This window comes from Homo sapiens, chromosome 6 (assembly GCF_000001405.40).
Source record: "Homo sapiens chromosome 6, GRCh38.p14 Primary Assembly".
NCBI lineage: Eukaryota > Metazoa > Chordata > Mammalia > Primates > Hominidae > Homo > Homo sapiens.
This window is the reverse complement of record NC_000006.12, coordinates 157,009,136-157,025,164: the sequence shown is the minus strand read 5'-3', so window position 1 is coordinate 157,025,164 and position 16,029 is coordinate 157,009,136. Positions and strand designations below refer to the sequence as shown.

At 40.8% G+C, this 16,029-nt stretch overlaps 1 protein-coding gene across 34 annotated transcripts in view, besides 3 other annotated features; it reads right to left on the bottom strand.

Annotated features, from left to right (window-relative positions):
* ARID1B (AT-rich interaction domain 1B) overlaps nt 1-16,029 on the bottom strand; it is a 434,754-nt gene that overhangs the window by 185,615 nt on the left and 233,110 nt on the right. The gene's annotated exons all lie outside the window — the stretch shown is intronic.
* Nucleotides 2,890-2,979: a silencer, noted in NCBI's record as "silent region_17719". NCBI's record gives its function as "represses an Ori minimal core promoter by ATAC-STARR-seq in GM12878 lymphoblastoid cells {active_cell/tissue: GM12878}" and the evidence as "EXISTENCE:reporter gene assay evidence [ECO:0000049][PMID:35858748]".
* Nucleotides 3,280-3,799: a silencer, noted in NCBI's record as "silent region_17718". NCBI's record gives its function as "represses an Ori minimal core promoter by ATAC-STARR-seq in GM12878 lymphoblastoid cells {active_cell/tissue: GM12878}" and the evidence as "EXISTENCE:reporter gene assay evidence [ECO:0000049][PMID:35858748]".
* Nucleotides 6,022-6,071: an enhancer, noted in NCBI's record as "active region_25325". NCBI's record gives its function as "activates an Ori minimal core promoter by ATAC-STARR-seq in GM12878 lymphoblastoid cells {active_cell/tissue: GM12878}" and the evidence as "EXISTENCE:reporter gene assay evidence [ECO:0000049][PMID:35858748]".

The window sequence follows — 16,029 nt, the reverse complement described above, 5'->3', positions numbered from 1 at the left end:
ATTTGGGAATTGCTACATTTTTCTTATGGAGGAGGTCAAAGTTTTTGAGTTTTTTGCTTTGGAGTAAGAAAGGAATCATTTACTAAAATTCTTTGTTATTTAATACAACTACATATAAATGTCAACTTCAACATGAAAACGAGCAAATGAACTTAAAATCAGAACTGCAGCCAATGGTGAAATCGTCTGTACAAGCGCAGTCATGAAAATTATTACACAACCTTCAGATCTGAAGCATGGCACTTAACACATCATCACTATACCTTTTTCTTATAGCTCAGAAATGTATGGAACTACACCATGAAGTTCCTTTCTACTCAATAGCAAAAAGCTTGAAATGTAGTCTCAAGGATGAAAAGCCAGATTTTGGGTTTTTTTTTCTTTTTTGTTTTGTTTTACAGAATCTCACTCTGTTGCCAACACTGGAGTCCACTGGTGCAGTCAAGGTTCACTGTAACCTCTGCCTCCAGGTTCAAGTGATTTCCCTGCCTCAGCCACCTGAGTAGCTGGGATTACAGGTGTGTGCCACCAGATCTGGCTGTTTTTTGTTTTGTTTTGTTTTTTAAGTAGAGATGGGGTTTTGCCATGTTGGCCAGGCTGGTCTTGAACTCCTGACCTCAAGTGATCTGCCCGCCTCAGTCTCCTGAAGTTTTGGGATTAAAGGCATGAGCCACTGCATCCAGCCCCGAAAAGCTAGATTTTTGATGTTTGAAACATCTACACCAAGTAAGCCCTTTCAACATTTTAATATTAAATGGACTCAATTTGTTCACTCAATTTTGTTCATACAAATCTGCTTTTTAAACAAAAATGAGGTTTCTGAAATAATTTACAACCAAACATAAAAAGAAACTTGTCACTTGGCAGTAAGATTCATTTATGTTATGTTTTTCTAAGAGTTTATAAACAACCTTGGTCAGCGTTTGGGATGAAATGACCCCAGTTCCTGAAAGAGTTAAACCACATATCATTTTTGTGGCAGGAAGGCCATAAGAAGCAACTTCCACAGAGTGGCACTTCAGCACTGCTGACGCAAAATGTTGGAAGACAAATCTTTCTTCCACAAAGAGGCCTTCAAGTTAAGTAACATCTCTGCACAGGCAGATAAATCTCATATGAAATGTAGGCTGAATGCCATGGTTTATGTTACCAACTATTTTTAATACAAATTCACTATTTTTAAAATGGGTAAATTGGTGAAAGTTTAAAGAATAAATAACCTGAGATAACTAGCTACAATCTACATGCAAAATCTGTCAAGCCATACACTTGCTTGACATCTCACTTGAATGTATTATTTACATCAAGACTACCTTTGGCAAACCTAGGGGAGCATAGGAACCACACACTCATTATATTAGGTAGGCAAAGTTTAACTTCAAAATTTGCCGTAAACTTGGCAAATGTTTGCAGCAAATAGAAATTACTGTTGGAGGGGCAGAAGTCATAAGTGACTCCCAAATAGATATGCCTTGTTGATATTTATTTGGGTTAACATTTTAAAATCCAAGACTTTCCAAATAACATAAAATAGTGACTGCAAACCACACTTAGATGTACCTACAACGTCAGACCCATTATGAGCAATGGCAGGTAAGTGTAACAGTAGAATATGCCACGACGATGGGGAGAAATCTTTTACTCAACCCTTATTACACTGTTTCCAAATTGCTCCAGTTTATGTAAAATAATTTGTATTGTTTTCTTTTTTAATTGTACATATCCCTTCTGAGATACAGAGAAAATTAAGCTTTTCCATAAATTCAGTATTCACAAAGCTAGGGAGTTAAAAGCCTGTAAACACAAAATTCACTGACCTGCATCAATTTAAGCACTATTAAAAGAGATTGCAGCTCAAAATCTAAAAAGAGCTGCTAATCCTGCTCTACAGATAGTAACCAATCAGTGTTTATCCTCACAATGCATTTGCTCTTCCTGTTAGGAAGCGCCGGAGTGAGGAGAGGATATGGAATACAAGAGTATATCCTAGTATGCAACTCACTCCTTCTTATGAAACACCTAAATAATAAATTCAACTTAATTTAAACTGTAACTGGCAAATGTCATCAGTTAACAACAATGATCAAGGTCAGAAATGTCCCTGCTATTATTTTTATAAAATCTGTATACAGATCACAAACACAGAAATTGCTACATGAAAATTTCTATGCATATTCACACGTGCGGTAAACACTACAAGGCATAAAAACAGAAGAATGTTAATATTCAGAACTCTTCAAGGCCATTTCTCTTAAACATTTCAAAATACTTTTGGATTCTGTCTCTACATCAACACCGAAAACTGACCCTAACCCTAACCCTACGTTGTTATAATGGATCATCAATTAAATTTGCAGAATTCCAAAATTAAGTTGCTTTGAGTCTGATAAAAATACACACATAAGTTATAAGTTATCTGCATAAGAATTATCAACAAGAGAACAAATTAGAATTTATGGTCAAATTATATAGTTCACAGAGTGAACAAAAAGTGTAAAACCAAAGTGGCCGTCGCTGATTGCTACTAGTTGGATTAAATGCATGTCTTGGTTAATCTACTATAGTTTCATGTGTTGTTTAGCTTACTTGAAAAAGTCGTCAAATGTTCCTAGATTGCAGATTGCAACATCCTACCTAAAACACCTGCAAGTGACCAAGAGACCACCCAGTGATCCCAAAGTCTCCATGGCAGAGACAGGATGAAAAGTAATATCCCGACAAGACTCTTCAGCATTTAATTAAGAACAGGAAAGCACAGGCAGGAGATGAAACTTTACAAGCCTAGGCGTTTCTCGGCTTTTAAAAAATGCTGTGAGTTGGTTTTCCCAGCAAGGAAGGTTGATGAGCATGCACTTGGCTCCAAGAAGCAGCTATTACACAAATAGAATCCAAGTGCCTGGCTAAGCCGCCCAGCCTCGGTGCGTCGGGTAACAGCCAATGGCGGCGGCCTGCCAGCCTCGCCCCGCCCACCTCCCGCCGGCCCCGCCCCTCCACCTCGCCCCCTTCCGCGGCCCCGCCCCGCCTCCCCGCCCTGTTCTTGGCGGCCTGGGCTCCGCGGCCCTGCTGGCGTCCTTCGTCTGTAGTTCCTGGCTTTTCCACCGTCAGCCACTCGTTTTAATTACGCGAACGGGTTCCAACTCATCCAGCCTTTAAGTTTGGGTGGTGGTTTTGAGAGGGGGAAAGAGATGCACCAAAGGAAGTAGGGGAAAAATAAAACCTTAAGCGCTGGGCGCGCCACGCGGGACGCAGAGGTTAGGGGCGCGCGGCGAGGTAGCGGGGCGGCGGCGCGAGACGGCGCAGGGGAAACACTCGGTGCCTGCGTGAGTCTGGCCGCGCCGGCTCATGTGTACGCGAAGCTGTGTCAGCAGAAACTTTAGAAAACACGCTGTGCGAGCGGCCGCCGCCTCCCGCCTCCAGGAGGAGCCTGCGGGCGCGCGGGGCGGACGGTGCCTGCAGGCGGCGGCCGCGCTTGCCCGGAAAGGAATGTGGCTGCGGCCGGCGCCTCCTTCCGCGGGGTCCCACAAAGGCTCATCTGTGCGCGGCGCGGCGCCGTCGGAGGAGTCCGAGCCTGTTCAGTCAGGCTGAGGACGCGGTTGTTTTCGTCCCCCTGTCCCCGCCCCCACGAGCCTACGTGCGGGGTAGGGAGGGCGGCACCGGAACCCCCGCCCGGGTCGGGCCGAAAGGAGCGAGCGGGGCCTGCCGGCAGAGGCCGCCGGGCTGCTGTGTGACTCGGTCCCCTCCGCGCTCGCCGCCCTCATCCTCGCCCAGCGCCTCCGCGGCAGGGTTAATTCCGCCCGCTGCCTGGTGGTCCCACTCCCGGGGGATTCCGGGGTCCGTGGAATCACTGGTTCTCCCTTCGGAGGAGCTCGGCTTCTTCCGTGGGCGCGGGCGAGTCTCCCCGCTGTACCGCGGGGCCGGGGCTTGAATAAAACAAAAGAAACCAAGGCGAGGTGTGGACGCGCAGTGAGGACCGGAAAGCGAGGCCTGAGAGCTGGCGGCCTGAAAGCGGTCCTGCGTCCTTCACACCCTCTCTCTAAAATCCCCCTCTCTCAAGCGGGCCCTGACCAAGAGTAAAAGCGCAGCCGAGGAGGGAAGGACGCCGCCGCCGCGCAGGCATCCGGGCAGGGACGGGTGGGCGGGAGATTCCGGGCCGCTGTTCAGGGCAAGCGCTAAAAGTTTCCGGGTCCCCGAATTTCTCATTTCTTTATCGAATTCTGCAAAGAAGTAACGTTCCTTCGGCCATTAATATTGTAAGAATGTATCGTTTCTAGCCATAAGTTCCAGGTTACTTTTTGTAAGAAAATTAAGGACTCAAGTAGATCAGCCAAAGAAACCACGTACAGCATAAACTCACGTACCACTCCTTAAAAAAATAATTTATTGAGTTATGACCAAGAGTTATATAAGGGGAGAGGTAACAAATCTTTGGTGAGGAAAAAGCGATGGAAAAAATATTAGAGAAGCATAATTTTGAGGAAATTACATATAGTTTGAAACCACCACTGTTTAATATTTTGACTCGCGATCTGAGTAGGAGAAATGACCAAGCTAGGCTGTTGTTTATGTGATGCCATCTCATTCAGTTCTACCTACTATTTATAGCTCCAACAGCATCAGAAAGAAAAACACATGCCTAGTGGCTAAAGCATTCAAACACAACCCCTTATAAAAAAGTTAAAGTTTGGGTTAATTAAAAAAAATTAATTTCATATTAAATATATATTTTTAGGTTCCAATTTACAGTTATGTAGTTATATATTATCGCAATAAAAAGATCTGCCCATGGACTGGTTTTTGGTTTTGAGACATGTTTAAATTACATCCCTTACAGAGTGCTCAACTTGTATGGGGGTAAATGACTAACATGATGTTATCTACAAGGTTAAAAAGCAAGAATAAAGAACTAACTACATTTTAGGTCAGTTCTTCATCAGAGAAGGAATGTTAAAAATTTATTTCCATCCAATTTATTTTCTAAATATTATTAATTTTCTTAAATAAAACATTTCCTGAACGGCAAATTTGCTTGTTATGTCTATTCCCTCCTTCCTGAAATGACTTTCTCCTATCCCTCTAACAGCTTTGTCTTTTGCTACTTCTTCATCCTCCAAGTTGTGCCAATTTGTTTCACTTTTTATTTATCTTTGCTAAAAGAGAAAGGCAGGGGGCGAAAAAACCCTAAAGGACTTAAGATTTTCAGATGGTTCTAGCTCTAGAAACATAATGGCTGCATATGAAGGGGAAGACAGGAGTCGTCCAGATACACCCAGATTTTCTTTTGGCTTGGTGGGAAGAATGAATGGCATGGTTGTGTCCTCGGCAATTTGACATGCTTGTGGTATATCCGCGGAGGTGACCCGCTGGCAGCAGGAAATACAGGTCATGGCACAAGTTGCAGGAGACTAAAGAACATGGATTCGCAGGCAATTAGATGACAGTTGAGTGAGCGTGGATGACTGAGTTTTATCATAAAAAGGCATCACAAAGGACGATAGAGCCTAAAACAGAACCTTCAGGAGTACCAACATTTAATGGACAAGTTCTTCCCTCCTTCCTTAATGAAAGCAAAAGCCACCAGGCTAGAAATTTTACAATTTCAGAACTGCTTTTTCCTCCAAATCTAGAGAGAAATAGGAAGTGAAACATGGACTCAGGTAACACTAAACAGAACTAAATTTAACTCCTCCAAGCAGTGGCTTTGGAGAAGTTAGACAAGTTTCTTAGCATCTCTGGGCCTCAGCTTCTTCATGTATATGACGACAGTCTGCTCTGATGGTTGTTATGAGAATGAAATCAGCACTTACCAGATGCTGGCTATAAACATCATCTGACCATTCCTGAAATACAGACTAGCCTCCATTCCCATTACCAATGCCTTAACTGAGACTCGCATCTCTCCTCCTAAGCCTAGAATACTGTGAAACTGGTTTCCTTGACACCAGGCTCTTTCCAACCCATTCTCCCTCACAGTGCCCCCAGTGTCCTCTTCAGATAACAGATTTGAACATGTCATTCTGCTTAATATCCCTCAGACCAACAGAACTGGGTCTAGACTTCTTACCTCGGGATAAAGGGCTTTGGAGAATCTGTTCCTAATCTGCCATATGATATCACCCCTTACCTCAACTCATTATTGGAATATGAAGCACCCTGTCATGATTTCTGTGCTGAGCCTACCGTATTTTTTTTCAGCCCTTTATTCATACAGATCCCTTCACTTTCCCTGTACATTTGCCCTTTGAGGTCATGCTTCCAAGTCTTCCCTGACCCCCCATGGTTGGAATGTACTGCACTTTATGTACTACTGCACTGGACTGATAGAATTTTACTGTTGTATATATAATCACATATATGTCTATTTTCCTTTTAACCTCTATGAAGGCAAGGTCCATCCATTGTGAATTTATGTATATTTTCCCACCTGCAAAAATCCATAGAAAAGTTTGCTACAGATTAATTTAGCTACTAAATTTAAGCAGAAATGAAAGAGATGTGCTGGAAACCAGAAATTCTCATACGCCAGAAATCCAAAACTTCAGATTAGTAAACGAAGAGTAAGGCTGAGACCTGAAGGTCTCACATGTAGATGGGTAATAATTTTTGACAAGTATCTCCAGGAAGCAGAGTTTTATCATAAAAAGGAAATAGTTATGCCGGGCACGGTGGCTCACGCCTGTAATCCCAGCACTTTTGGAGGGCAAGGCGGAAGGATCATGAGGTCAGGAGTTCGAGACCTGCCTGGCCAATATGGTGAAACTCTGTCTCTACTAAAAATACAAAAATTAGCTGGGTGTAGTGGCACATGCCTGTAGTCCCAGCTGTTGGGAGGCTGAGGCAGAACAATCACTTGAACCTGGGAAGCAGAGGTTGCAGTGAGCCGAGGTTGTACCACTGCACTCCAGCCTGGGCAACAGAGCAAGACTGTATCTCAAAAAAAAAAAAAAAAAAAAAAGCATACTACTTTTTGTTTAGACATTCTTTCCTACTAAAAACAAGTCAGTTTCCATTTTACTTATTACTTTACTTTTATTTAGAGACATGGTCTTGCTCTGTTGCCCAGGCTGGAATGCCATGGCACTATCATGACTCACTGCAGCCTCAACCTCCTGGGCTCAACCTATCCTCCCACCTTAGCCCCTTGAGTAACTGGGACTACAAGCACATGACACCATGCCCAGCTAATTTTTTTTTTTTTTTTTTTGTAGAGATGGTGTCTCATGTTGCCCAGGCTGGTCTCCAACTCCTGGGCTCAAGCAATCCTTCTGTCTGCCTCAGCTTCCCAAAGTGCTGGGATTTCAGGCATGAGCCACCACACCCAGCCCAGTTTCCATTTTAGAGATGTTTAGGCTCTAGACATTTGCACCACAGCAGAAGGAGCTATGTTGACTTTCAATTTCAAAGCAGATTCTGAGAAGCTATGACATTCTAAATATGAGGCCTTCTTTACTCATGGATTGTCCTAACTACAGGTTTGTTTTCAGATGAATGCAGTCTGGTCTCAGGAAAGACCCCTAAAAAGGTTAAAAAGCAATTACCTAGAGGAATATGAGTTTTTATTTTAGAATTTCAACTAGCACTGCTCATTTGTTACTACTGATGAATTCCTAAAGAAAGATGCTAACTAAATGCCTTAAATCCCTTTGGGAACAAGGTAGTAAGTAAACATATATTTTATAAAATCTAATAGTCATTTAATAGCCAAAACAAACATATTTTATAAAATCTAATAGTCATCTATTAGCCACAACAAACAAACAAAAAGAACATCTTCCTGTGGTCCCCAATAGATGTTTTACTGATTGGAAGTATTACTCTTGAGTAGCTCAGTGAGTATGAATTATTTCCCAATCTGCCTTCCCAAAACTCTCCCTAATCAATAATGTGGCTTTAAAATTTACCAGAATTGTTGATGGATTACCAGAGGTTTCTACACTGGGCAATGACATTTGAAACAAGGGCAATCCACCACTATAACAAGTCCACAGGGAAGGTCCATTCCCTGGGGCGCAGAAGTTGTGTTTGGTGTAGGTTTGTCTAGAGCAACCCTGTCCAACAGAAATACAATCCAACTACATTTGTAATTTACCATTTCCTAGCAGCCACACTAAGCAAAGGGAAACAGGTGGAATTATTTTGATAACATGTTTTATTTGACCCAACATACCCCAAATTTTATCATTTCAACCTTTAAGCAATACAAAATTAATGAGATACAGTAAGTCTTCACTTAACAACATTGATAGGTTCCTTGGAAGGCATGACTTCAAGTAAAATGCCCTACCAGGAAACCAAGTTTTCCATGGGCCAATTGATATAAATAAGAAATAAGACTCAAAATACTTACAATATTAAACATCGAAACAAACGTGAGCTATACATACATTTAAGAAAGATTAGTAAAAATAAGTAATATCATTATTTACCCAAGTATTCCAGTTTGGGTCGCACATGGGCAGAGCCCATCCCTGCAGAGCACAGGCGGGACCCACTCTGGCCAGAATGCCACTCCATTGCAGGGCCACTCACACACCCACAATCACTCACAATGAGACCATGCCGACATGCCAGGTCCCATAACTGGCACATCTTCGGGATGTAGGAGGAAGCTCCACACAGACAGTGGTCCCAGCTGGGAATCGATATTTTTTTTTCTCCTCCAAGTTATAAGGAAACAACATTGAACAAAACAATATTATTCAAGGACTTGCTGTATTTTACTTTGTTTTTAATGCCATGTCTTCAAAATCTGATGTGTATCTTTTACTTGAAGCAGATCTCACTTTGTAAAGTAGCCACAATTCAAGTGCTCAACAGCCACACTGGACAAATCTAGATATTTGGGGTGGGGGGTGGCGATGGTGGCACCTATTTGCAATTGAGTATTGAAGTTTAAAATTACATTGAGGGGGCTCTTTTTTTAAAAACTGAAGACATAATTGCATATAAATGTATCAGTGATTATTGACGTGAAAATACAGCACAAAGCATTAAAAGGGGAAATAACGATTAATACTGAAATGTTTCTAATAATGCAAAAATAGCAGCCAATAGTAATTTGACAGACACTGTCTACAAGCCAGGCTGGCTCAAGTACTGTACTTAAACTAGGCAAATGTCTTCCGAGATAAAAGAACCACTTCTACCAACCCTTCTCCTGAGCAAACTGAAAAGAGTTTCCATTTGTGAGAAGATATCTCCTTACAGATGTATCAAGAGGCTCTGAACCGGTCTAATTTTTGCTGTCTTGAAGGCAATGAAGATGCAGGATTCACATCACAGCTTTGTGTTTCTTTCTGAGGGTTGGGGGATGTATGTAGCAGTGGGGTCGGAGTAATGCTGTGATTGGCACAATGAGGACAGGAGAACATCTACAATTTTACTATCGTGCCAGGAATGAAAGCAGTGAAGTGAAGACAGAATGACAGCAAACGCAGGGTTATACGGTAAGTCAGCACCTGGGAAACTCTGAAGTCAGGAGAACCAACTGCTCCCAATAGAAACAGGCTACAGAAGTGTTCTAACTACAGTGGGTCCCCTTTAGAATAACTCTGATCAGCTCTAGAAGTGTCAAATTTAAAAGTATTATCTTCCTCATGGATCTATCAGAGACAGTCTTCGCACTTTTCTTGAGCAATCTCATTCACACCCAGGAGAATATCAGATATGGCTTCAAATATCAAATATTGTGGTGAATCCCAAATCTGTGTCTTAGTTTCCTCCACCCAAGCTCCAGGACTGACCAGACCTCTCCAACTGCACACTAAACAGTCCCATGAGGATGTCCTTCAAAAACCTTGAATTTAACATGTCAAAAACTAAATTAATTTTCTCTCATCATTCTGCTGATCCCTAACTAACTTCTGTATTGTCAGTTATTGACAAACTATTTCCCAATCTGCCCAAGCTCAAAACTCCGGGACTTATCCATTTCTCCTTGTATTGCTCCAATCAGAAATCATATCCCTGGTGTTTCTTTATATCTCCATCAGGCTCTCATCAACTCTTTATTCTTCAAGTCACAGTTCCGTTCAAACTTACTCCCCAAATATTTTCTCAGTAGCTACGACGTGCAGGGCATTGTGTGAAAAATGCTGGATTAAAAGACACGTGGCATCAAATGTCATCTCGTCTTTCCCAGTCTGATGCCCTCGAGTCAGATTAGCCAGCTGCTCTTCAAAATACTGAGTTATAATAATCTGATTATTTGTTTTTTACTTTAGCCTGCATGTTTCTATAAGATGGAGAGTGGCATATTATTGTGCTATCCTTTTTTTTTTTTTATTCCTGGCATAATACAGAGACTAGTACAGTATTTAGTATACATAAGGTAATTGGTAATTTTTTACTCATCATGCTTTAGTTTACAAAGGAAATTTAATGGCTCTAGATGCCAATCTAAAGATTCATATTTAACTGAAAACTATTGTATTCCTCAAATTTGGAATTCAGATGATCACCCTTCTATCAAAACACTGATTAATTCAATGGTGTTGGTATCACCCCAAACTCTATTGCACATGGTAACTCTGTCATACATCTATAAAGCCTAGTAGCTGTATTGGGTGAGATGAAAAAAACTGCTTATATTCCACAGCAACATAATTACAAATAAGTTTTAACCTATTAAAGTACAGAGTCTCTCTCATCACTTTCAAAGCAGGACCCTACTTACCAATAATTCATAGCATACCTCCCCTTATTTTAAAACTCATATGATAGCTGATTTCCTAACTGTAGCAATCAGGATTCTTAGAAAGAATCGAAACTGAATTTAGCTAACTAAGGAAGCGGATTTCATTAAAAATATTGGATTAGTTTACAGAATCAGTAGTGGAGAACCAGGATTGCATAAAAGGTAAGAACCAAGGGAGACTGGTCAAAAGAAATAATTTGCCCAGAAAGTCACCACCAACAATTCTAATAATGGACACACGATGCTGACAATATTGCTAGATTCCAAAGTCTGTGGAGTTTAATCAGGCAAGAGCTAATGGCTGGCCAAGCCTTAGTCATTAGTCACATGCTCCCTCAGTAGCATCTACGATCTTTGGATTCAGTAGCAGAAAATACATGCTGCGTTTTAAGTTCCATACCTTTCTTTTGTCCCCCAAAGAAAGCAGGTTTATACGCTGAGTCACCAAAAACAAAACAAAAAACACCCAGCAATATTCAAATATTCAATAATGTCATCAAAAATTTCATGATACCCAAAGGTTTTGTGTGTGCATTAGCAATGTACAAAGTCAAGGCACTGATCTTGAGCAAAGCACCGAGTATAAGATTCCCACAGTGCTAGCCTGTGTTACTGAACAGACCCAGGGGGCTGACTCCTTTAATTGATTCTTGCTTGTCACTTCTATTCTGTTCAGGCCTGCCGCTGAATTCCCTTTGTGCTGGTATGTAATTTGGCTATAGTGCAATCAGTTTCTAGTCAGTACAGAAAAAAAGGTAAGTCCATGAGATTGCGTTGCAGGCACCCCTCAACCTTCAGTACACATTCAACCAAAATCTTCCTGTGGTGTTTAATGTGAGTGTTGGATACCAGGGTTATTTTGAGCAAAACACAAAACACACACTGAAATACTTGGCTCGTGACAGATCCTGTTTTCAGTGTTAACTAATCTGGTAAATGCCTTTTAACTAACCCAAGGAAGTAGAGATGAAGCAGTAATAATGCACCTAGCATTTCTTTTTTTATCATTACCTTCAACTGAGGTCTCAACTTCAGGGCACAGCAGTTGCAACACAGAATTCTTTTCCTGCCATCACTCCATCTCACATGAATGGTACTAAGTCCATAGGCTTCAGAGAGCCCTGGATCTAAATGTCATGCAACAGAGGAGGCCACTCCTGGGATCATCTCAGAGGGTAAGGAACTTAGGTTGGGACTGAGCTTTGAAGGCACGAAATGCCTCTGCAATTACTGCCTTCAAAGTGCCTTAGGCAGCACTAGAGCGGCAAAATGGCAAGTTCAAAACTTCATGCCGGCAGGGCGCCGTGGCTCACGCCTGTAATCCCAGCACTTTGGGAGGCCGAGGCGGGCGGACCACCTGAGGTCAGGAGTTCGGGACCAGCCTGACCAACATGGAGAAACCCCGTCCCTACTAAAAATACAAAATTAGCCAGGCATGGTGGCACATGCCTGTAATCCCAGCTACTCGAGAGGCTGAAGCAGGAGAATTGCTTCAACCCAGGAGGCAGAGGTTGCGGTGAGCCGAGATCATGCCATTGCACTCCAGCCTGGGCAACAAGAGCGAAACTTCATTTCAAAAAAACGAAACAAAACAAAACAAAACCTCATGCCATACTTAAAAACCTCACCATGTAAGGTCCCATACCATTCCTATTATTTGCGCACATTTGTTGCTTTCATTGTTAATCTGCAGTATTATTCATAGATCTGAAACGAACACTGGATATTAACAGAGTATAACTTCTTATTTCATAGATGAGGAAAACGGAAGCCAAATAGGATAAATGACTGTCTAAGGTCACGTACAATTATTTGAGGAAATTAGACTAAAGCCTAGGTCTCTTGCCCCCTGGGTGTTACTCTTTGTACTACAGTATACCAACCCAATAATGTCTTCTATTTACAGTTGGCTAGAGTCAACTACTGACAACCAAGGCCAGTTGCATAAAGGCAGCCTCCAGTTAGCCTCCAGTATACCATATATTCACCAAAGGTAGCCCTAATCCTCATCATGTATTCTCAATCTAAGTGACTTTGTTCTTAGTTTACACTTGACTTGTTTGCTGACAATGGAGCCCTCATAACTGCCTTATCGGCCCACTCCCATGTTCTCACAACTGCCTGGTGGACTTCTTCAACATGGACTAACTCATGTCATTGCAGTTTTTTGCCTTTAATTCCACAAATTAAACACAATTATTACGTTATATCATGTTTGTTTGGCTTTACTGTGCCATTCTATCTGTTTACTATTCCATCCTACATCTCAGGTATTCCTTCTGGGATAATTTTCCTTTGTCTTAATTACATCCTGCAGTTCTTTCAGAAGAATTTTAGAGATCTTTGGTAAAACTCCCTCAGCTGTTGTTTAAAATGTGTTCATCTTATCATAATTCTTGAACAGTACTTGAAACAGTCTTGCTAAATTGCTATTTTATAGACATTTATGTGTTTCTTCTGAGTTCCATGGTGTTACTGCCAGTCTATTTCTTTATAGATGAGCTGCGCTTTTTCTCTGGCTGCTTTCTAGACTTTCTCTTTGTCTTTGATGTTCTATAGCTTCGGTCTAGGCATAGATTTCTTATTCACACCTGGAATGCAGTATGCTTCCTGAATCTGTCGGTTCCTTATTATCATAAATTCTGAGAAATAACTGTACCTTTTGAAAAATGCTACACAGGTATCAACCAAAATAAGGTAGTAGAGAAAGACAACAGTAGGAAGTCTTATGGTGCTTATGCATTTAGATTCATTTGTAATAAAAGTCAAATCCTCTGATAATATTCACATTAACACTATACAAAAATAAATAAAATGCAACTACAATTAAACTATGGACCATTATGTCTATTGTGAAACGGTTGTTCATGGACCGTGGTTCATAAAAACATAACTTTCTAAGGAAAGAATTCTTTCCTCAAGACTTTAAAATGAATTTATATCACATTTTCATTTTATACTTCACCATAAAAATTCCCATAGCAGAAAATAATGCAATACTTCACACCAATTAAGCTTTCTTTTCAATTTTTCCACTTAGTTCATTTTAACTAATCAAGGCATAACTGCTACATAATTTGTTTTTGGCTGTAACTACTGACTAAAGGTGTAGAATTCATATGCAAGGGAATTTATCATAGAACTACAATACTTTTTGGACAATTAATTAGAGCTTGAAGGAACTACAAAATCCTCAAATAGCAATCTAATTATCTTGTGTTCATTTTTCCAACTCTTTAAATGTCGATAATATATACATGCTTTAATGACAATATGGAAATCCTTGACCATGATTAGTCACCAAGAGTTTATCATACCTGCACTAAAAACAAAAGGTAAAAGAGAAAGTAGAACAAATGAAAAGAAGTACAGAATGCTTTCTCCATTCAATTTGCCCATTCTACACCCCCTCAAAGCAAAACCAAAAAAACTTAAAAAACACACACCATAGGGAAAAGGAAAAAAAGAAAAACTATGAGAGGTGTCCTGGCCTTCGGACCAGGCTGTTGCAGTTAACTGCATGACTCATGTCTCTTTTCCTTCGTTAAAAAGTTAAACTAATAATTCCCTATGATAGTTCTATTAGTGATCACAATCTATAGATTTCCTACAGAAGGAAAAATAGGAAAGTAGCAATTTCATAGCTAAAAACAAAAGAGGTCACACCTACTTTCTTATCGTGAAGGATTAAGCACTAGAGAAAGATTTTTCAGTTTCACACATGCAAAATTTCAATTTAGATAAATTGACACAAGTTGCTTTGCCTAAACTGAAAAGAAGTCTTGCTACATGAGAACAGTTAAAAACAACAACAACAAAAAACAAAACAAAACAAAGCAAAAAAAAAAAACAGGCCGGGCATGGTGGCTCACGCCTGTAATCCCAGCACTTTGGGAGGCTGAAGTGGGCGGATCATGAGGTCAGGAGATGAGACCGTCCTGGCCAACATGGTGAAACTCCGTCTCTACTAAAAATGTAACAATTAGCTGGGTGTGGCAGTGCTTGCCTGTAATCCCAGCTACTCGGGAGGCTGAGGCAGAAGAATCGCTTGAACCTGGGAGGTGGAGGTTGCAGTGAGCCAAGATCAGCCACTGCACTCCAGCCTGGCAACAGAGCTAGTCTCCATCTCAAAACCAAACCAAAACAAACCAAAACAACAACAACAACAAAAAAAAAAAAAAAAAAAAAAAAAACAGGCAATGCATAAATGTTAACAAAATTAGACAGAAGCCTAGAATTTTACTGATCAGGAGTAAATAATAGCTCGGCCCTATTCAAGATTACCCAAAGATAGAGAAAAACAAAAACAAAACCCCTGAGTGAAACCAGTGAATCAGTGGTATAAGTGTGATCACTTTAGGTTCCCTCATATTGCTAAGAAAATCCAAACAGTTCACAATATTTAGTTTTAGAAATTCTCTTCTTATTCTAGATTTCCCTAACACTCTTTCATATGAGAAGGGGTAAGAGCTACTAAAAAATTGCTTCATAAAGAGCAGAACTTCACAATCTTTTGTAGAGTCCTGGAACACAGGTTGGCTATATTACATCACATTCTTCACTCAAGGGGTGGGTCAAACCATGGGCTGTGTAGGTGACAACCTGTGTTCAAATCCTGGCCCTACAGGGATTCTACTTAAGACTTACTTAACCTCTCTGTGCCTTGCTGTTCCACCTCTACAAACAGGTGCCATAGAAGTAACTATATAGCACAGAGATGTCATAAGGGACTTGACAAATAAATGCATATAAAACACTTAGAAAAGCATATTAACAAATATGAATATTACCACTATCAATTAAACATTAGTGAAATGTCTCAATTGATGAGCATTTTGCGTCATATTAGCTATGACATTCACAAGAGTATGTGCTGCTCAGATAAAGCTTTTATATCTAATATAGTAACATACAATAAATACTTGTTGAATGAAACTATATATGCAGAACCCAGTCTAGAAACTACACTTGTCTCTAATCAACTCCTTTCAACTAAGAGAAATGTACTTTCCATATTCAGTACTATCACCTAGTTTAGGGCCAACTTTTCCGCTATTCTGTCTGTTTCCTAACTGGCCTCCCTGCCTCTAGTCATCTCTTCCAGGTCATTGAGAGAAGAGTTCCTCATACTAACAGCCTTGTGCGTATCACTTCTCTGCTCAAAAACACTGACTTGCACGCCATTACCACCTTGAAGCCTCACTTTCCTTACTGCACCTCCATTTTACTCAACACAGAACTACTGTGTTTTCCAGTGAAATCTTGCAGTTTTTCATCAACACTTATAGTTTCCTACAAATGACTGTGAGCACTACTGTCTCTGTAGCTGATGGCTG